Source organism: Homo sapiens, chromosome 7, assembly GCF_000001405.40.
Source record: "Homo sapiens chromosome 7, GRCh38.p14 Primary Assembly".
Lineage (NCBI taxonomy): Eukaryota > Metazoa > Chordata > Mammalia > Primates > Hominidae > Homo > Homo sapiens.
In genome coordinates this window covers 150,008,732-150,030,941 of record NC_000007.14, presented here as the reverse complement: position 1 = coordinate 150,030,941, position 22,210 = coordinate 150,008,732, and the positions used below count along the sequence as shown (strand labels likewise).

At 43.6% G+C, this 22,210-nt stretch overlaps 1 protein-coding gene across 21 annotated transcripts in view, besides 1 other annotated feature; it reads left to right on the top strand.

The window, feature by feature from the left end:
- ACTR3C (actin related protein 3C) overlaps nt 1–22,210 on the top strand; it is a 442,186-nt gene that overhangs the window by 292,604 nt on the left and 127,372 nt on the right. The window lies entirely within an intron of this gene.
- Nucleotides 5,816–6,340: an enhancer, noted in NCBI's record as "NANOG hESC enhancer chr7:149721691-149722215 (GRCh37/hg19 assembly coordinates)". NCBI's record gives its function as "activates a minimal SCP1, AML or CMV promoter by ChIP-STARR-seq in primed H9 embryonic stem cells {active_cell/tissue: H9 hESC(primed)}" and the evidence as "EXISTENCE:reporter gene assay evidence [ECO:0000049][PMID:30033119]".

Genomic DNA, 22,210 nt, shown 5'->3' with positions numbered 1-22,210 from the left:
TAAATGGACTTGTCCCTACTGAACAGAGCCCTCTGCTGTTGTGCCCTGGAGCCAGGTTAACACGCATGTGCTCTATGCCACGAAGAACACCCACCAAGCTGAGGGGCATGCAGCGGTCAGCCCTGCAGGCATTCACATGGGAAACTGCCATTGCGAATGGAGTGAGTGAGGCAGCTTAAGTGGTGGGAGGGGTGTGTGGGAAGGGGCTCCTGAGCAGGACCTTCAAGGGTGCTAGAGTTTGGCAGAGACAAGAGTAGGAGCGAAGAAAGTGAGAGTCTCATGTAGAAGGGCAAGGTCACCTTCCTGAACAGGGAAGATAAATCATAGTGGATATTGTACAATAAAGATTTTATTCATTCATCTATAACAAACTTTTACTCGATACCAACCATGGCCTGATGCAAGGCTGACACCATGGGATACAGAAATGCTTTTGAGTGTCAGTCTGGGGAGAGACAGGCATGTGAGCAAATAAATGAGCTGTGTCTGTCCCATGAAGAGTCTAGAATAGTGCAGTTGGTTAGCACTCTCTGGTGACAGAAAGGCTGTCTATCTATACCATCCAATCCAATAGCCACTTGCCCCATATGGCTGTTGAGTGCTTGGAATGAGGCCTGTGAGATTGAGGAACTCAATTTTAAATTTTATTTAACCTTCATCTATTTTAAATTTAAATAGCCAGCCACATGGGGCTAGTGGCTACCATATTGGGCAGCACAGGGCTGGAGGCACATGGTAAGAAATTTATATCCAATAACTAATAGGAAGACACATTGATTAGTTTTTTTAAACCTATATATTAATCGTTTCACAAGTACTAGGGCTTCAATACATGGTACTGCATAAATAAAGCAGTCCTTGCCTTCAAGTCAAACACATCACCTTATCTTATTGTTATCTGAGAAAATGCAAAGGAGCCCATGGGAGCGAGAGGAGGGACACTTCATTCAGCTTCAAGGGTGTCAGGGAGAGTTTTCTGGGAGATTCGATGATTAGGATGATTCTTGAAGAGTTAATGGGAGATAACCTTGAGAAGGAGGAGAAAGCTATCTCAGGTGGAGGCAACAACCCCATGGTTATCAGAGAAGCAGCAGCATCAGGGAGAGCTCAGAGTATTCAGGGAGGTATGTGGGCCTGGAGACTCGTGCATGTGGGGCAAAGCCATTCAGAATGACCCTCGGAGATGGGCAGGGCACCATGGGGCTTAGGCCTCAGATGACTTTTTTTAAGGTCATGGGGAGTCATTTGAAAATTGGAAGCAGACACATGAGATTTCTGTTTTTCTGCTTCCATTTCGGTATTTTCCAAAAAGCAGTAATGTTGCTGGAAAGAAGGAGAGCAGTGTAAGAGTTTTTGTTTGTTTGTTTTATTGGTTGCAGTGAGGTCTGGCTCTGCCACCCAGGCTGCAGTGTAGTGGTATGATCATAGCTCACTGCAACCTCGAACTCCTGGGCTCAAGCGATCTTCCTGCCTCAGCCTGTCAAGTGCATGCCACCACACCCACTCATGGTTTTTTTTTGTTTGTTTTTTTTTTTTTTGTTTTTGATAAAGATTGAGTCTTCCTATGTTGCCCAGCCTGGTCTCAAACTCCTGGGCTCAAGCAGTCCTCCCACCTCGGTCTCCCAAAGTACTGGGATTACAGGCATGAGCCACCGTGCCTGGCAAGAGACTCGTTTGAAGTTGAATGAAACGAACAGAATTTGGCGATGGCTTAGTTGGGGAAGGAGAGGTTAGCAGGGAAGGGGCAGCTGCAGGATGCCCTTAGGGGTGTCAACATTTGTGCTGAACACAGGCCACTGTGGGAGGAGGCATCGGCTTGACACAGCAATCCTGTGGTGGAGGTGTTTGTATTTTGAGGTTATTATTCTATTGTTGATTCTTGGAGTAATAAGAATTGAGAGATTACCCAGAAGCAATGGGCAGTGTAATAAGAGGAGAGGGCTGGAGAACAAGCTGGGTGACTCCCATGTTTACAGGCTTCTGGCCTCAGGGAAGGCCTGGAAAAAAGGATGGGAAGAAGATGCTGTTAGAATCCAGGAGAAAGCTACCTCTAAGAAAGCAGAAAAGGCAGGCTCATAGCAGACAAGTAACCTGAATTGGGAAAGGGCCCAGTGGCCCCGGCATTGGAGGGCAGCTGGTGTCTGCAGGGAGGGTGGCTTTGGCAGGAGCACAGGTGTGGTTGAGGCTGAGGTGACCAAAGTCGGATTAACACGAACCCGAGGCACGTAGCACAGGGGGATGAGTGTGGGGGTTTCTTCCGGGCTGCTGCACAGGCCCTCCTCTTCCCAGACAGCAGCTGCTGAGTGTCAGGTGGGGGGATAAAGGCCAGAAGCAGAGATGCCGCTAAGCCCACAAACAGGTGCCCACGGGATCAGCCTCGGCGCCGGGCGGGTCTTAGGTCTGAAGGACACTTGGAGACTAGATGTTGACTGTTGGAAATTTAGTAAACTGGGCCACCAGAGGCTTAATTCACTGCTTTAAAGTCTGATGATTGGAAATTAACCTATGAGAATTGTCAAATTACATTGAGGTTTGATCTCCCGTGCACTTACACAAATGCACACAGACACAGACACAGACACAGGCATGCACACACCTCTTTTATGAGACAGATAAAAACCCAGCCACAAAGATGTCAATGCCACACATCTAAGAGCCTGTCCCATAAGTAATGCACAGGGCTCCAGCCCCCGTGGGAGGAAGATAATTGGACTGTAAAATAGTGAAGGGCACGGCTGGGTCAAGAGAGAGTCCCCTAAAACCAAATTCCAGATGATTTCCATATTCTGAATGGAAAGCCTGCATAATCATTATTTTTAAAACATATCGACTTAGAAATAAAATATAAAAGTCAAAAAATCAATTAAGAGGACTAATTCAATGAAGAGTGTTTTCTGGTGGCTATTTTTCTTTTTATTAAAGTTTTTAATTTTTTTATTTTTTGGGCACCTAGTATATATTTATGGGGTACATAAGATGTTTTGATACAAGCATGCTCTAGTGACTACTTTTCAAGAGTTAAACTGTGGACTCCAGAGTCTGAAAATAAAGTATAATTTTCGAGAATGTTCAAATTATAGTTTTAAAAGTCTTTGGCCCATTATTTATATTTTTTATTCTTATTTGGAATTAAGCACAGTATTTTGTTTTTTCAAAAATTTAAACCTGACTGAGAGCTAGGTTGCCATGGACCATTGGTTATTTATCTTCTTTTGATGATACTTCATTTAATAACAAATCAGTGTTCCTGTGTCTGATAGAGTTAGATGAATTAATCAAGTCAGTGTTTATTCCTCCTTCAAGTGGCATCTTCTTAAAGGTAGCTTTGCAAAATGCCCAATTATTTGGACAACTTAAAAAAAGAACTATGGGGCCGTGCGCAGTGGCTCACGTCCCTAATCCCAGCACTTTGGGAGGCCGAGGCGGGCGGATCACGAGGTTAGGAGATTTCAGGCCATCTTGGCTAACACAGTGAAACCCCGTCTCTACTAAAAATGCGAAAAATTAGCCGGGTGTGATGGTGGGCGCCTGTAGTCCCAGCTACTCGGGAGGCTGAGGCAGGAGAATGGCGTGAACCCGGGAGGCGGAGTTTGCAGTGAGCCGAGATTGTGCCACTGCACTCCAGTCTGGGCAATAGAGCGAGACTCCGTCTCAAAACAAAACAAAACAGTTTCTCATATGCAATGATCCCCACACCGAGGTATCAGGTAATTGTGGACTGTGCCGTTCACTGTGTACTATCAGGAATTTAGGTAAGGCAGCAAAAGAGAAGAAAGTTTCCCTAGAGCCCCATACCGAGGTATCAGGTAATTGTGGACTGTGTCGTTCACTGTGTACAGAGATTGGCAGGGTGTGAGTGGCAGAAAGAGCTTCTTAGGCAGTCAGACCACCTGGCTCTGAATCCTGGCTCGGTCACAAATTAATTATATGGAAGAAAACCTTAAGCCTCGGTTTGATTTTCTCCTTTAAAAAGTGAGACAAATAAATGCATTTATTTCTCAGAAGATAGTTGTGATACATCTATTATTTTATGACATTTTTGTTCATTTTTAAAAGGTCCTGACAAATTTTAAGTGTTTTATGTGATCAGTTAGATGACATGCTAATTGGCAAAAGGCTTGCCTCTAATATACATGCTGTCAAATTTTCCATCAACTTCTATATTTGCTTCTCTAAGATTTTTTTTCCTGAATGACATAATTAATTAATGAGGTCATGCAAAATTCTTAAGGAAAATAGCTAAGTCAGTTTCCTTCATTAAAATCCACTATAAACAAAGACAGCCCTCTGTTTAATGCTTAGTTTAACAGAAAATTTAAATTAGCACAGATAATTCTTCACATCATTTGGTTAATTGAAGGTATGGGAAACTGTATTTGTAGTGTTCACTCAAACCATTCCCAATAAGTGAATTACCCATGGGCCAAACTCTGGAAATTGCCAGATGAACTGTATTATATAAAGATAGTATGGCATTAATAGCTGTTCTTTCATATTGCCTTTAATCCATCCTCTTTGAAATAATAGAGGCCTGAGATACATCAGTGCTATTGAGCAGGAACGCTTGAATATAAAACCAATCAAGACAACATATAGTATAAAATAGTGGCTTATCATGTATGTGCATGCATGCTATTTTATTTGTTTTTTGCTGATAAAGGTGGAATGATGTTATGATGAATTTCACCATGAAAGACTGAAATAGAGCAAACAAAATGTCTCAATCAGGGTTTGCCAGGGTTATTCCTAATGAGTTATTCATACTGGTTGTATTTTTTTGACCATTGGGATTTATTTATCTGAGGGCTGCTGGAAAAAGGAGAAAGGGAAGCTACGTCATTTGCCTTCTGTGTGCCAGGCATTTTCCCTTTCTTTATCCCCGGAATAACCTTGTGTGGGAGGTTTCATTATTCTCATTTTACAAATATGGAAACTAGCTTAGATGAAGAGAGATGGAGTGACCCTCCGAAGGCCTCGCAGTCAGCGAGAGTTCGAAGCAGGGTGAGAATTTACGTGTTTCTGATTTCTAAAGCTGTATTCCTTCCACTGCCCTGGTTCACATGTTAGAATGTCACATCTTTATCCTTCAGACATAGTAGCTCAGTCTGCATCAGACTAAGATGGGGAAAAACTTGATTCCTGGAAATTTCCAAACATACGGAAAAGTGGAGGGAATTAGGCAATAAGCCGGTTGTACCCATGACCCAGCTGTATAATTATCAAGGCTTCGGCAATCTCGTTTCATCCATTTCACTACCACTATGATTTGAAACAAATGCCAGATATCATTTTCCTCCGCTAAAAACATTTTATTACGTTGGATCCTGTTTGTGCCCATATTTTATACTAAGCCTTCACATAAGTTATGTTCTAGGATGTCTTCAAATGAGAGTAAAAGAGGACACCGTTGTCTTACTGCTGGGGAAAAGAGAGGGGGCTTTCGTCTTTCTTCAACTTCCCTGTGTGATACAAGGGAAAAATGCAGCTAGTTAAATTAGTCTAAAATCTCGATCCCTTGAAAACAGAAAAATCAACAGTTTTAAGCAAACAAATACAATCCCCCTAGTAGCTAATAATTTTCATCCACGTGCCTGGTACACATGCTAATGTTGGAGGGAAAAAAACAGGGTGATGTGCTTTTTGAGTGTGGACACCAGAGGGTAGAGTGTACTGATTAGAGTTTCCTGGCATTGCAAAAGTGCAATGAGGCTTGGGGAGGAAAAGCAGTAGGCTATGAAACATTATTCCTTATGTCAATAGAAGGAAATTATTACATAAGGGAAAACTGGCAAGATGGAAGAGCTTATATCCACTTGCAGTTCTGTTCATTCCCCCTAAACTCCATATATTATTTCAGGATTTTCATGAGAAAGGCTCTTCTTTGAAGAATCAATTGCTTATCCATGGTGTTAGTTTATATGTTTGTATCATGACAAACATCCTTTCCAGAGGTGTGGCCCTCCAGACCTTGCTAACAGCATGCTGCTGCTTTGCAAAGCCGCCTGCGCTTTGCTGCTCACCTAAAGGAGGACTTCTCAATAATAGACAGGATTTGATTCCTTTTTGTCATGAGAAAGCTCCCTGATTGTGCATTTGTAATGCATGAATTGCACAGATCTCCCTGCTGAGAGGCTTACATCACAGAGTTGGCTCACTGTTTCCAGTATCATTCTTCCAGCCCAACAGTAAGCACTGGAAGAGAGCAGGTAGCTGCCTACCCTGATATTACAGGACATCAATAGGCTCTTGCACGCAAGTGTGGTGTTTTTCATTGCACACCAAGGGTTATTAGGCTGTGCTGAGTCGGATGGAAATAAAAATAGCCTGGAACCTGTGCCCGTTTGTTTGGGGGACTTGTCCCAGCACCATGCTAATGAGCCCAAGGGCTTGGGCTTGATGTCCCTGGTGGTTCCATCAGAGCAACATGAAGGAAAGCAACTGTCGGAAGCCACAGGCCCTCACTTAATGTGGTTTGCAGAGTGGTAAGTGATGGCTCTTCCCACGTGTATGGTTGTCTGGCACAGAGAGAGCCGGGGGACCCACACGCTCACGCAGTCCCTGCCAGCAACTGTGAGACATGACGACTGTGACTTTGCAGAATCCAGGGTTCATCCACCCTCCCGTGGGTCCTCCTGCTCCCCGTTTTGCTGCCATCTCGGGCCCATATCTGCAGGTTCAGGGACCCTGGAGTAGCTGCACCTCAGCCTCATGTCCTCTGTGGTCCCTTAATTGCCCAAAAGAAAGAATTTAAATGTAAAGTCGCTCTGTGCAGCGAGCACGTTCCTTCGTGCCCTGGGCGGCCTCTCTGACAGCCCTGACTCTGGTCTGTGACGCTGGGATCGTGACTGCTTTCAGGCACCGTCATGGCCTTCCATGGTCCTCTGTCTGCCTTTGTCTCCTTCCTTCTGTTTAGGATGCCCTTTAGTGGGGGAACTCCTGGTCTGCCTTCTCCTCTAAATCTGTGCTCTCTACCAAGGATTTTCCAAGCCTGCGCTTCCTCCTGTCATCTCCTTTGCTCCTCTCCATGGCTCCGGCTCCTGTTCCGCAGCCCCTGGACCTATATCTGTGATCACACTTAGTGTTTTATACATCAGTTATTCACTTAAGTGTCGGCCGTGCCCACCAGCCCAGAAGACTCAAGGATGAGTACTTTTCCATACTTACCTTTACACAAGATAGGGTCTCAGTACTCATCGCGATTAATACATGAATGAACTTCAGCAAAATAATTGCAATGTGTAAAGGCCAAGATCCAGAATAAAACCTTTCATTTCTTAGCTAAAAATCTCCCCACATCCATTAGTTTTACATCCTTGGCATTAAAGATCCTAAGGAGAAATTGGTATTCCTGTCTGGAAAAACTTGCTGTTGCTTAATTTATTTAAAAGTAAGTTATTTTTAAATAAATATGAAACCCCATCTCTACTAAAAATACAAAAAATTAGCTGGGTCTGGTGATGGGTGCCTGTAATCCCAGCTACTCGGGAGGCTGAGGCAGGAGAATTGCTTGAACCTGGGAGGAGGAGGTTGCAGTGAGCTGAGATTGTGCCACTGCACTCCAGCCTGGGCAACAAGAGTGAAACTCTGTCTCTAAAATATATATGTATGTATGTATGTATGTATGTATCTATCTATCTATCTATCTATCTATGTATCTCCATATATACATATAGAGATATATAGAGATCTATATAGAGATAGAGAGATATATAGAGATCTATATAGAGATATAGAGATATATATAGATATCTATATAGAGAGATATCTATATATCTATATAGATATCTATATAGATATCTATATATATGTATATAGATATGTAGATATATAGAGAGAGAAAGAGACCTGGAGAACATATATACTCAACAGGTGCATGTCATAACCTTCGGGGAAATAGGGTGGGAAGGATGAAGATGATATTTTATGTGATCTGTACTGTGTGAGTTGTGAGTTTCTGCATATATTAATTAGTAAAATAGGTAGGAGCAAATATTATGAAAGCATTAAAACACCAAGACTAACAAGACAATCATGAAGAGGAACATTTCTGTCTAACTAGATGGCACTTATTATAAAGTCTTAGTAATTCTGATGACTATACCCCACATGGATGTGGAGACAGAATAAGTAGATCAATGGACCAAACAGAAACAATTGGTCATACTTACACAGTTCTTGTTACCAGCTGGGCTGTTTTAAACAACTTTCCAATATAAATTCATTTAATCTTTGCAGCTATCCATGAAGTAACATTTATAGGTCTCCATTTAATGCTTTAAGAAAATAGAAAAAGAAAGGTTAAATTGCTGAAAGAGTCACATAAGAGGAATTGGCATAAGAGACACACCGGCTACTCCCTGGGCCTGAAGCTTTATAGCCACAGCAGGGAGGGGAGTGTCAAGAACCAGGGCAGGGAGGATAAAGACCCCGCTGAGAGTTCCAGCTCAGTTTATGATTGGTATATGCCTTTCATAAGCAAGTCACTATTTTCTTGAAAAGAAATGGAAATCAAGAGATGCATGTGTTGTCAAAGCGGGAGAAAATATTTGCAAACTATGTATCTGACACAGTACTACTATCCAGAATGTACAAGGAACTCAAACAAATCAGCAAGAAAAAAACAAATAATCCCATCAAAAAGTGGGCTAAGGACATGAATAGAAAATTTTAAAAAGAAGGTATACAAATGGCCAACAAACATATGAAAAAATGCTCAACATCACTAATGATCAGGGAAATGCAAATTAAAACCACAATGCAATACCACCTTACTCCTGCACAAATGGCCATAATTAAAAAATCAAAAAATAATAGATGTTGGCATGGATATGGTGAAAAGGGAGCACTTCTACACTGCTTGTAGGAATGTAAACTAGTATAACCACTATGGAAAACAGTGTGGAGATTCCTTAAAGAACTAAAAGTAGATCTACCATTTGATCCAGCCACCCCACTACTGTGTATCTACCCAGCAGAAGATAAGTCATTATATGAAAAAGACACTTGCACGCACGCCTATAGCAGTACAACTCACAATTGCAAAAATATGGAACCAGCCTAAATGTTCATCAACCAAGGAGTAGAGAAAGAAAATGTGGTATATATACACCATGGAATACTACTCAGCCATAAGAAATGAATGAAACAATGGCATTCACAGCAACCTGGACAGAGTTGGAGACCATTATTCTAAGTGAAGTAACTCAAGAATGGAAAACCAAGTATCGTATGTTCTCGCTTTTAAGTGGGAGCTCAGCTATGAGGGTGCAAAGGCATAAGAATGATATAATGGACTTTGGGGACTCGGGGGGAAGGCTGGGAGGGGGATGAAGGATAAAAGATTACACATGGGGTACAGTGTATACTGCACAGGTGATGGGTGAACCGACACCTCAGAAATCACCACTAAAGAACTTACCCATGTAACCCCAAACCACCTGTTCCTCAAAAACTATTGAAATAAACATAAAATAAATTTTTAAAAAAGAGATACATGTGTTGAAATAGACAATAACTCTCAACTGTACCAGAACCTACACCTCCTTATTTTGGCAAATTATTTTAATGCTCCTTTCCTAATTTAAATTAAATTCATAGGTGATAAAACGTATATGCATATACCACTTTAAAAGTTTCAATATATAGGCTAAATAAAGGAATGAACTTATAATCCAGTTATCTGTCCTTCAGCATGTCACTGCTCAGGTCCTGCTTGCCAGGTGGTCTGCAGCTAGGGCACTGACATCTGTGATGAAGTCAGAAGCTTCTTCCTATGTGTAAAGAGTAAAACTGGGTTTAAAATATTTTTTTTAAAAAAAAAAGGCTGGGTGCAGTGCCTCACACCTATAATCCCAGCGCTTTGGGAGGCCAAGGCAGGTGGATCGCCTGAGGTCAGGAGTTCAAGACCAGCCTCGCCAAAACGGTGAAACCCTGTCCCTACTAAAAATACAAAAATTAGCCATGCACGGTGGCGGGTGCCTGTAATCTCAGCTACTCGGGAGGCTGAGGCAGGAGAATCTCTTGAACCTGGGAGGCGGAGGTTGCAGTGAGCCGAGATCGTGGCAATGCACTCCAGCCTGGGTGACGAGGGCAAAACTCCATCACAAAAATAAATAATAAATTTTTAAAAAGCAGACCAGAAATAGTTCCATATAAAAAATATAGGAAAAGGGAAGAGCAGATAATACAGAAGAACCTTAGAATAAAGCCTGAGATTAAGTAATAATAGATTAGTTTTATTTTGAAAATGAAAAGAAAATGGGGACACACTCCATTTGAAATACAGGATGCGTACCAAGGTGGATCACAGATTGAGAGGAGAAAATGTGTGAGATTCTCCACTGATAGCCAGGTGTGGCTTCTTCTTTTTAAGCATGGCGTGAAACAAATTATGACATGGATGGGGGGAATGAAGTGTCCCTGGGATCCTACCACCTGACAAGGTGTACCCTCAGTCTCCAGTGCTTAATAAATGCCTTGTAAACTGTAACCTCTGATACTTAATGAGGAATACAGCTCTTTGAAACAGAAACCGAAATAGGTCTCTAGAGAAGTTGTATGATAAGATCCTGGGGGCAGTGTCAGAAAAGGACCGAAAAAACACAGATTCCTCCCTCCAGGAAATAATTTCAATACTTAAAGTTTACCATGTAGATTTCTTGTTCTGGTGCTATAATTGTGAAGCATATAGGAAACACTATAAAATGTTTTAAAACAATGCTTTTGATAAACTTTATTAAGACCTCTATGTTTCATGTGTTTGCACTAAAAATAATGTTTGCTTCTAAGAATGTTCCTATTTGACTAAGGTGATTTAAAATGCCTTTGCATTGTTGCACTGTTTGTGTAGTGATTGTAACTCTGTACTAAAGCCAATTAACTTTGTAGTTGGATGGGTTATAAAATACTCACTAGACACAATACTCCATAGACACCATATTCAATAATAGACACAATGTGTAGAATTAAGAAGCCAGCGTCCACCTCTGCAACGAGCTTGTCCTGAATCCCTGGACCCTTTATTTTTCATCCCATAAAAACTTTCAGTATCATTATGTACTGAAGTACTCCTTATTTATAGTTCTGTGGATTTATTCCAATGAGTCTGTTGAAAACTGGGATGTGGGGCACCTACACTTCTCACCGTGCAGGATCTCTACCCATTGCAGGGTGTCCAGCCCCCTGGCCTCTACCCCAAATGCCAGTGAAGTCTAGGATTCATTGTGACAACTGAAAAACTCCTCATTTCAAAAATGCTTCCTAGGAGGTAGAATGGCCCTGTTGAGAACCTTAAATAGATTATAGATTTTATTATTATTATTATTATTATTATTATTATTATTTTTATTTTTGAGACAGAGTCTTGCTCTGTCACCAGGCTGGAGTGCAGTGGTGTGATCTCAGCTCACTGCAACCTCTGCCTCCCGGGTTCAAGCAATTCTCCTGCCTCAGCCTCTCGAGTAGCTGAGACTACAGGCACGCATCACCATGCCCAGCTAATTTTTGTATTTTTAGTAGAGATGGGGTTTCACCTTGTTGGCCAGGATGGTCTCGATCTCTTGACCTCATGATCTGCCCTCCTTGGCCTCCCAAAGTGTCGGGATTACAGGCATGAGCTACTGCTCCCGGCCAATAGATTATAGATATAATTCTTCTGTTATTAATTCTTTCACAAAACCCTGGCTGTACAAGTATCCTCTGTAAACTTAGATATTTCCGACAGTGTCTACTTCCTTCCTTCATGATCTCAACTCTCTGTAAATTACATGTGAATGCATTCAGGACTGTATTTTATATATCATCTCTTTCATGTTTTGATTTGCTTTTTCCAAGCAGACATTAAGTGTGCTGAAAGTAGTTGTGTTGTCATCTGCTTTCATTGAATCCTTCAGAAATTTTAGCACCACAATGAGATTCTGAAAAAAGCACAGAAAAGGGGCTTAATATAGAATGTTTAAAGAATATTTGTTTTCTCAATTTATATTACGACTTTCAAACTTCAGTGCATATGTACACACACACACACACACCATTTTAAGGCATTGCTAAACTCAAATATATCTTTCACCTTGAAGATGAAGCAAGATTCCAAAATGTCAGAAAATCTTGAAAGTCTCTTAGATACGAACAATATGGGGAGAGAGCCAGCAACTGAGTTATTCCCAAGCTCATTTAGTGACAAAGTTGTGGGTTGGTTAGGCTTGTTAGAGCTCAACAAAGCACTTAGTGAAGGAAATATGAAAATTAGAAACCACTGTAGGATATAAATTAAGAATATTTGGAGGCTAGAAAGATTTGGGGATTTTTTTTGTTGTTAAAATATCTAGCCAACTCCTGAAAAATAATGAGTGGTTGCCATAGCAACTGTGTTTTCGCTTGACACACGAAAGAACATGAAAAGCTTTGGAATCAAGGAAACCCACCTGGTTTTAGACTTTAATTTTGGAGAAACAAATTCATCCAAAATGATTTATAAAACAAACCCTATTTTATTTTCCTTCCAAAATGATTGTAGATTTTTTAAATTTTTTTAAATTCAAAACATTGAGGGTATCTCAAAGGAAGTGAAAATACATTCTTTTCCAAAAAAAAAAAATGCCTGGGCCAGTTGTGGCTCACGCCTGTAATCCTAGCACTTTGGGAGGCCGAGGTGGGTGTATCACACGGTCAGGAGATGGAGACCATCCTGGCCAACATGGTGAAACCCTGTCTCTACTAAAAATACAAAAATTAGCCAGGCTTTGTGGTGCATGCCCACAGTGAGCTGAGATCGCAGCACTGTACTCCATCCTGGGGGACAGAGCTAGACTCCATCTCAAAAACGAAAGTGCCTGGTCGTCTTTCCACACGACTCCGTTTCCACTCCCATAAAATGCTACGTTAGCTGTTTTGAGGGTAGATGCCCTTAGACTGCCAACTCACAAAGTTTTATTGGGCACCTGTTACCTGTTCAGCAGAGATTTGTAAAAAAAGACACATCAGGTGGCCTTTGCTTGCAAGAAATCAGCCTTTGGAACCTGTGGAGAAAAGTTAAATACTGCGTACTGTGCAAATGAAGGGTGGGAGCTATTGAAGGGAAGAGATTCACCCTGAAAACCCAAGAATGGTCAAACGAGAGGCAAGGTGGAGCCTGCGGTTTTCACTGGAAGGATTCTAGAGTGAGTGATTCTGGGGACGTAGAGATGGGGGATAACGGGTGAAAGGAACAAGCATGGCCCCTTTGAGGTGGAAAACAGACTGGTGGGCCAGGGTTGGGAGGGTGTGCTGGGGAAGTGTTGTGGGCAGAGGCTGGAAAATGAAATTGGGCTGGGGTTAGGAGACAGGTGACCGTGGAAGACTGCTCTGACAATCAGAGTCTGGACTTCCTTGCTCCTCTGCAGGATCCCTGATGCCCAGATGGACCCTTCGATGTTCCTGGCCCACCTGCGCTACCTATTCTTGCCCCGCTCTGCTCTAGTCTTTACAACTGCACAATGGCACAGTTGGTCTCTGGGACTTAGAATTTGTGTTGCAAACATAAGACCTGGAGAATGGACCTGGTCTGTGATATAGTGTGTCAGTCAGGGACCTGGAGAAACAGAAGGGGCTCCCAAATAAGAAGACTTCAAGGAAGTTTAAGAAAGGCACCAAATACAATTTGAAACTTGCGGGCTGGGAAGCCACACGAGATAGCGCAGGCTGGGGGATGTGCAGGAGCTGTCATCAGAAGCCAGAAGTGGAACATGTTATGAAAAAGGTCACTTTGCATGGAGAAGGAGTACAAGGGAAGTCAAGAGGACCCACAGTGGGAAGTGGGCTGTGAATACTCTGACCCTACCTCATTTACTGCCAGCGCATCCCTTGGCCTAAGTGAAGTAGGAGCTTGGCAGAAGATTGGCTGTTGACTCTAATCCTGCTCCCAGGTTCCTACTTAATCAGCATCCAAGATCTAGGTGTGGAGTTGACAGTGACATCTCAGACTTCAATCCACCATGTTGACTTCTGATTAACCCCAGTCCTGGGAATACCTCCAAGAATTCTACTTTATTTACTTCTCTTATGTAAGAATGTTTAACTCACCATGGATCCTGCCCTTAGACCAAAGCGGCCTTGATGTTATTGCACAAATTACAGGCTATGACACATATACCATTCCTGCCTGTGCTAGAGGATTGCCTTTAATTGTCTTGCTGAAGCACATATGCTTTTCCCTATGGTATATAAGCCTTGGGTCTGGGAGTAAGAGTGCAGAGATCTACCTGTCTTGGTGCCACCCAAGGTCATACCTCCGTCTGTAAGTTCACCTTTCATGGAACACAAGGTAAACCTCACAAAGTGTAAGGCAGCTCTTTTCCCATTTCCTGCATGTCTTCTCAATACCTATGATTGAAACATGCAGTGGAAATATCCATACCCGTCTTGATGGATGAAGCTAACTGGCTGGTAGGTCAAAGCCAGTTCGAGGAACAGGCTAGGAGGTCTGCATGGAACCTGGGATTGGCCATCCCCTCATTAGGGCTCTAATGGGAAGATGATGCCTTGGGTGTGCCTGGATGCTGAGAAAACATGAGATGTGTATTACCTTCTGCTCTCTTTATGTAAAACAGCTGAAGCTAAATCCCTTAAGATGTTTCTACATCCATCTATACCTAGATCTTGGAAATTTTGCAAATAAGCAGTTGTCAGAATTTTGAGCTATGGCTTGGGGTATTAAAAAATAGAAAGACAAGGGAAGAGGGTGTTGATGGAGGCTTGAGCCACTTAGCATGACCTAGACCCTGATCAGCTGTGGTTAGTCCGAATGAGCCAGTATGCTGGGGCAGAGAGCAGGATGGAGTAGCAAAGGCCCTGTAGTGAGGCCCACTGTGGGGGATGAGTGTGCTTGGTAGCAGTTTGAAGCATTGTGCCTCTCTTTCCTATGCACTGTGATCAGTGCACAGGAATGTAGAAAGGGCCAAGCCTTTGCAACACCTTAGACTCTGAGGCCTCCAGGGTGGATTCACTGTGCCATGGAAAACCACATAACATCATCCTATTAGCGTACTTTTGAGAGTAGATGTGCTATTAATAATGATGCTAAAACAACAGACATACACTACCAGAATGCTCCTAGCAAAATGAGGACATGTAGTCACCCTTTCCTCTGCTCCCTCCCCACCACCTGTGCCATTAGAAGCTGGAGGAGGGAGCGGTCACTGTGGCATGGAGTAGGCTGGGCAATGAAGGCTCCTAGGAAAGGCGGGCCTTGGTTCATGATCCGTGGTGGGATTCATGTGGGTAGGAGAGAAAATCAAGGGACGTCAAGAGCGTGGTAATAGCTTGTTACTACCTGGGGAGAAACATATCTGCTAGAGTTGCCATTTAGAGACATGTCAAAACCTCCAGAAAGTGTGTTTCAATGCCAAGTGCTAATTGTAAAAGGGAACGTGTCTTTCTGCAGTTCTAGTTTGTTATAGAAAGGGACAGCTCTTGACGTTAGCAAATAAGGTTGTATGTTATGGATCCTGTGGCAACTGAGTGTATGTGATGGAAAATGGATGTTTACTTTAAGGTCATTACTGAAGGCTTTCTGGAGCCACCTCTTTCTTGGGGACGTCTCCCTACTGATTCATATTAGAAATCAACTTGAGTGACCTTTCTCTGCAAAACATCAGAGACTGCCTTGGACTGTGTGGTCTGCTTGGAGGACTTCAACCCTCTTAGAACCTTACTCTGCATGTGAACACAGCAGCACAGGGACAGCGGGTTCCATTGTCTACGGGAGATGGTGCTCAAGGGTTGGAGCCAGTCCCCCTAGAGAGTCACATAGCATTTGGCCCTCAACCATGGCTGAATAAATGAATGAATAAACCTTATTTAATATATACTTTCACCTGCCTGAGTTGTAGAACTCTGCAGAAGTCCTTTTATATCTCTTCTACATTCATCTTCAGAGCCATTGTATCATAGGGGTTGTTTTGTTATTCTCCATACATCCTAATTTATAGAGGAGAAAACAAAATCCAGGGAAAGGTGGAAAATTGATCCAGGGTCAAACACTGAACTTATGGAGAGGATGGAGAGGAAAGCATGGCTTTTGGAGTAATACCGCTGAGAGTCAAATCCCAGTTATTGCAGTGAGGAGTGGCAAGAAGTCACCTAATTTCAACAACACAATCATTTCAGGAATGGAAAGAACACCCCCAGTTCCATTAAACGACATGAAGTGCAGAAAGTCCTGGCTCACAGAAGGGGCCCACTAAGCATTAGTTGCCATTCCTTTCTTAGGTAACAACCGCCTGTGGACCCTCACCCCTTCCTCCACTGTCAGAGGCAGCATAATGGCTCAGTTTGCATTTCAAGGCTGATAGAATCAAGTTTGCTAGTGCTGGTCCTGCTGCCGCCTAGAACTCCCTTAATGAAAGTCAGCCTCCACAAGCCTTGAGGAGTATTAAAGGACAGAGCACTGTGAAGGATGGTGCTGTGTGTGCCTATCTTTTCTTTTTCTTTCTTTTTTTTTTTTTTTTTTGAGACGGAGTCTCACTCTGTCACCCAGGCTGGAGTGCAGTGGTGCGATCTCAGCTCACTGCAAGCTCTGTCTTCCGGGTTCACACCATTCTCCTGCCTCAGCCTCCCAAGTAGCTGGGACTGCAGGCGCCCGCCACCATGCCCAGCTAATTTTTTGTATTTTTTAGTAGAGACGGGGTTTCACTGTGTTAGCCAGGATGGTCTCGATCTCCTGACCTCGTGATCCGCCCACCTCGACCTCCCAAAGTGCTGGGATTACAGGCGTGAGCCACCGTGCCCGGCCTATGCCTATCATTTAATTGACTAGTTGGATTAGCGAGGAGTTGGTTAGTTGTTGTGCTTCTTTGCAGTGCACTGGGCTGCTACATGGGCCTCATTTTGACTACCTGTTCTAAGGGATGAGGAAGCCCTCCTTGCAGAAGCCCATGGAAGCCCTCCTTGCAGAAGAAATATCCCAGCCACTCAGGTTGGCAGACTCTGTGCAGAATACCCAGTGTCTTTCCTCCTCTTGTTTATCTCTCTTCAGGTACCAGGAAATGAAAGAGGCCTATAGACATGGAAGTTCTGAAGGAGAATAGCGTTGCCATCCTCCCTACCCACCTCTGAGTCTCTGGTTCCTGGTCACCCAAGCCTCCATCATGCCCTCTTCCCTTCTCTTCCTTTTATTTTTTAATACCCTAAGCCACAGCTCAAAATGCTGAGCACCACTTCTCTTCAGCATGACTGAGGTCTAGGTATAGATGGTTATGGGGACAGCTCCAGGGACTTAGCTTCAGCTGTTTCAAATAAAGGAGAAAGAAGAGAACAGGGATCTCATGTTTTCTCACCAGCCATGCATGCCCAAGGCATCTTCCTATGAGAGCCCTGAGGAGGGAACGGCCAATCCCAGGTTCCATGCAGTGCCTCCAGCCTGTTCCTGGGACAGGCTCCAATCTCTTGGTGCAGTTAGCTTCATCCATTAAGACAGGCATGGATATTTCCATGTTCTTCCTGAATCACAGGTATTGAGAGGAAGTGTGGGAAATGGGAGAACAGCTGCCTTATGAATCGTGAGGTTCACCTAAACCTTGGGGGCTAGAATTGAGATGGAGCAGTGTTCTGAGGGGTCCCAAGAAGCCTAGTATAACTCATAAGATGCTTGGGAGTTTAAATATGCTTTTCTGTGCAGAGTCTACCATCTAAGTCTCTCTGGTTTGAAGTTGGAGAAACTGAATTTGTCATTCAGCTAGAAAACATACTGGAGGAGAGATTTTAACTCATGCCTCAGAACAAAGCTCAGGGCTTTCTGAAGCACCAGAGGGTGCCAAAGGAGTCAGAGCTTGGGTTCTGCCCATTGAGAAGAATGAAGAGGGATGCTGGTTTCAGTTTAGCAGGAGGAAAATGGTAAAAATAACATTGAAAAGAACAAATAGACTTACAAGGGTTCTCAAGATTTATCTGCAAGTGATATTTTCTAAGGAGACTGCGTGTGTCCCCCAAACTCCATTTTCATCATGTCACATTTTTCTCAAAAGCATTTCTATAATTCTAGCATGAGAAGGGAAGCCTTGGTCTAAATGTTCATGAGCGGAACCAAGCCGCCTTTCCAGCCTCATCCTGCAAACACATACTCCCTGGCTGCAGGTAGGTCCCCTGGTAGTGTGTAGATGCCAGCATTTCTGTTTTAATGGTACATGGAGAGAGGCGATCTAACCTAACAACAAATTGATGATCTAGCTTGAAAAAAATACCAACTGCCATTTCTATCACCGTAATTTCAAAAGCAGAAGGACATTTTAACATCAAAAAGTGGGAAAAACATTTTCAGAACAAATATCATGGCTCCTTAATTTTAAAAAGATGCCTTGGGTGCGTTGGCTCACGCCTGTAATCCCAGCACTTTGGGAGGCCGAGGCGGGAGGATCATGAGGTCAGGAGATCGAGACCATCCTGGCTAACATGGTGAAACCCCATCTCTACTAAAAATACAAAAAAATTAGCCGGGCATGGTGGTGGGCGCCTGTAGTCCCAGCTACTTGGGAGGCTGAGGCAGGAGAATGGCGTGAACCCGGGAGGCAGAGCTTGCAGTGAGCTGAGATCGCACCACTGCACTCCAGCCTGGGCGACAGAGCGAGACTCCGTCTCAAAAAAAAAAAAAAAGATGCATTTATAAAACCTTGTTGTATCTCTTTTTCTTTTGTTTTAATTTTGCCACAAATTCAGAAGAGCTTCATTATCCCTAGAGTAAGAAAGGGAAAGAATAAAGAAAAAAAAAGAGCTTCTTTAAAGACCAGCAATCCGTGGACAGGCATTTAGCAGTTACTGACTTAGCCTACACACTGGGCTGATATAGTTTCTCCATCTGGAATGTTCTTTTATATTTCATTTTATCCAATTCTCAACTTCTTTTCCATCCCAAAGAATACCCCATCGCTGCTCTCAAGCTTTTCCGGACATTCTGCAGTAATATCTACCTCATCTGAACTGAAAACTCTCTCGCCTCTTGTACTCAATTGGCCTTTACCGTTCACTGTCTTCTGACATCTCTTAAATAGTGATTAGTCATTAATGCATCTCGCCAACTAGACAGTAAGCATTTTATACTTCTTTTTAATGTCTATTATTTTCAGAAAATATGTGATACCTAATAAGTAAGTTTTTAAAGTTTGCTGAACGAACACAGTAAGTTCTTTGTTGTACTACTTGTTTTCTGGAACTGTGATGTTGTTTATGTCGAGTCCCAGAAGTTAAGGCAGAAGGGAATTGAGAAACTGACCCTGAAATTATGTCATAAAAAACTGAGAGTTAAAAAAGAAGCCATGGCTTTCTATTGCAACTTTAACTTTCCTAGTATGCTTAGTACTTATTTTTTATTTTTATTTATTTATTTTTTGAGATGGAGTCTCAAACTGTCACCCAGGCTGGAATGCAATGGCGCGATCTTGGCTCACTGCAACCTCTGCCTTCCAGGTTCAAGCGGTTGTTCTGCCTCTGCCTCCCAAGTAGCTGGGATAACAGGCGCTCACCATCATGCCTGGCTAATTTTTTATATATTTAGTAAGACAGGGTTTCACCATGTTGGCCAGGCTCGTCTTGAACTCCTGACCTCGTGATCTGCCTGCCTTGGCCTCCCAAAGTGCTGAGATTACAGGCGTGAGCCACCGCACCCAGCCAGCATTTATTTCTAAGCCAAATCAAAATATAGACCTTTGATGAAGGTGTTAAGAAAACATTGCATTGTCCTGGTTATTTAGAGATAGAGACATAAATTCTCTATGATTATTTCTCCCAAAGACCTTGGAATCCAATGGACCTGAGACAGGTCAAGATGAATGAATACAAATATGAGAAGGGCATAGCTCATCAGAAATTCAGAGACCCTGGGTGAGCAGGGTTAGGCAACTTGGAGAAACTTTCTAGACACAGGAGCCATAGCACTGTAACTAAAGAAGGAGGAAAACACAGCATGCCGAGCAGGGTATAGAGGCTGCAGGTGTGTTTTTCCTTGGCTTTCATGCTGTGCTGGCCCTGACACAGGACTGACTTTACCCATAAAGAAAGTGGCAGCAGCAGGAAGGGCACTGTGGTGAGCCCTGGTGAATCCACATGGCACTTGGACCAACCCCTCAGACACAACCCCTTTCTCATTCTGTTCCATCTGCTGCCCTACACGATGTTCCATTTCAGGGCTCGTTTCTGAGCATGGACCAGTTGCTAGGCACAGTTCTGCAGATATACAGTGAGCAGAAACAACCACAGAGCTTATTTTTTTTTTTTTTTTTTTGAGATGGAGTCTCGCTCTGTCACCCAGGCTGGAGTGCAGTGGCGCAATCTCGGCTCACTGCAACCTCTGCCTCCCAGGTTCAAGCGATTCTCCTGCCTCAGCCTCCTGAGTAGCTGGCATTACAGGGGCCCATCACCACGCCCGGCTAATTTTTATATTTTTAGCAGAGACAGGGTTTCACCATGTTGGCCAGGATGGTCTCAAACTCCTGACCTCATGATCCACCTGCCTTGGCCTCCTAAAGTAGAGCCTACTTGTATATTGCTAAGGGCCCAGTGAAGAAGCCAGGGATCTGTTAAATATCTCACCCATACATATAACATTACACATCTGAGGACTGTTATCAAATGAAATGATGTGGTTCAGGGAGACCAGTGAGTGGGATGTGGCTGCTGAGAATGAGGTGCAGGGTGATGTTACATATTTTTTTCCCAAGAAAGGGATGTATAGGCTGACAGCTAAAGTGTCAGTAGGTGCTCACTAGTTTGGAACAGAAGAGAACATTGTCCATGCAAAGGAACAGCTCGAATGAGGCTGTGGGACAGGAGGGAGTGTCACGGGGCTGACAGAATGCCCACTTGGCTGGCACACAAGGAAGGGAAAGGAGTGGTGTGAGATGAAGCCGAGCAGGTGTCAGCACCAACCTCTCGGGACTTTGCAGAGTATGGCACAGATTTTAGCTTCATTATAAGAGTAGCAGGAAGGCACTGAAGAGTTTAAATTGGCAAGTAATGGGAGCTGAACTGTGCTTTTCAAAGACTACTCTGTCTGCTCTTTACAGCTGAAGAAGGACTGAATATGGGTTGGAGGGAGAGAGTGAGAGCAAGCGTAGCTGGGAGCAAACATGGAGTGTAAGAACAGAGGAGAGAATTAGCCGCAGGCTAGGGACCTTGGAAGGACACTTCTCACTAAAAGCCACACTCAGCTAGAGAGCCTTTTTAACAGTGAGTGATCGTTCTTCTCTGGTGTTTCTCTCTGTCCGTCCCTAATCCAAGCCAAGAGAGAATGAAGGCTCTTAGTTTAAAAGGTCCTCTGGTCCTTTGCTGCCCCGTTCTTGCTTTTCTAGCCAGACATGGTTCTCTGAGGATTTGTTAAATTTTAGAGCCCAGTGGTCAAGTAAACATGGGGTGGTACTCAAAGAAACTCACAGGTATTTATTACCCAAAGCTACTGCATTTGGGGATTATTAAATACAGACATATAGACACACATGTATGCAAGGTCATTGGAGTGACATCCCATCCTGAGAACAGGGGCCACCTTCTACAAATGCCAAAAATGCACTTCGCGCAGTGTTGGAAATTTCATCGGGTGTTCACTGAATGCACAGACCTGCTGCAGAGCCTGGTTCTTGTGCCTCTTGTCTTCCTGGGTGTGCTGGGGTGGAGGACAGATTCTTATGTCCCTCATTGGAATCTACCCTCTCAGCCAGTCTTGTGACCACACTTTTGGAGTGGTGGAGTGATGGGAAGCCCCTCGTGGCACAGCACCTGCCCCAGCACCATTGGCTGAAACGGAAACAACCATCCACTTGGCCTAGCAGAGTCCTTGACTATCTTTTAGGGCTTTGCTCTGGGAGGGGCTGTGCTCTCTGCCTGCCTAACATCCCCACTTCTGGCCCAGTGGGGCTTGGGCTGCAGTAGCTGCATTCCATTCTGGCCCATCACGTGGCAACACCAGCCACGATGCCTGCCGTCTTCCCTGAGATGTTCGGTGCCCTCTCTTCTGAGACACTGGTGGCTTTCTGAGAACTGCTGTATGGTGAACTCCATCTTCAAGGGTTATTGGCTTCCAAACACCATGACTTGCGGGAGCCCCGTTCCCTGCTCATCAGTGTCCATGCAATTCAGGCAACTCTCCCCAGCTATGCTAGTTACTTCCTTCATCTAAACCCTGTTTGGAAGCCCTGAAGTTCCTGCCTGGGGAAGTCAAGTAAAAATGGGAGGTATGGGACTTGATAGC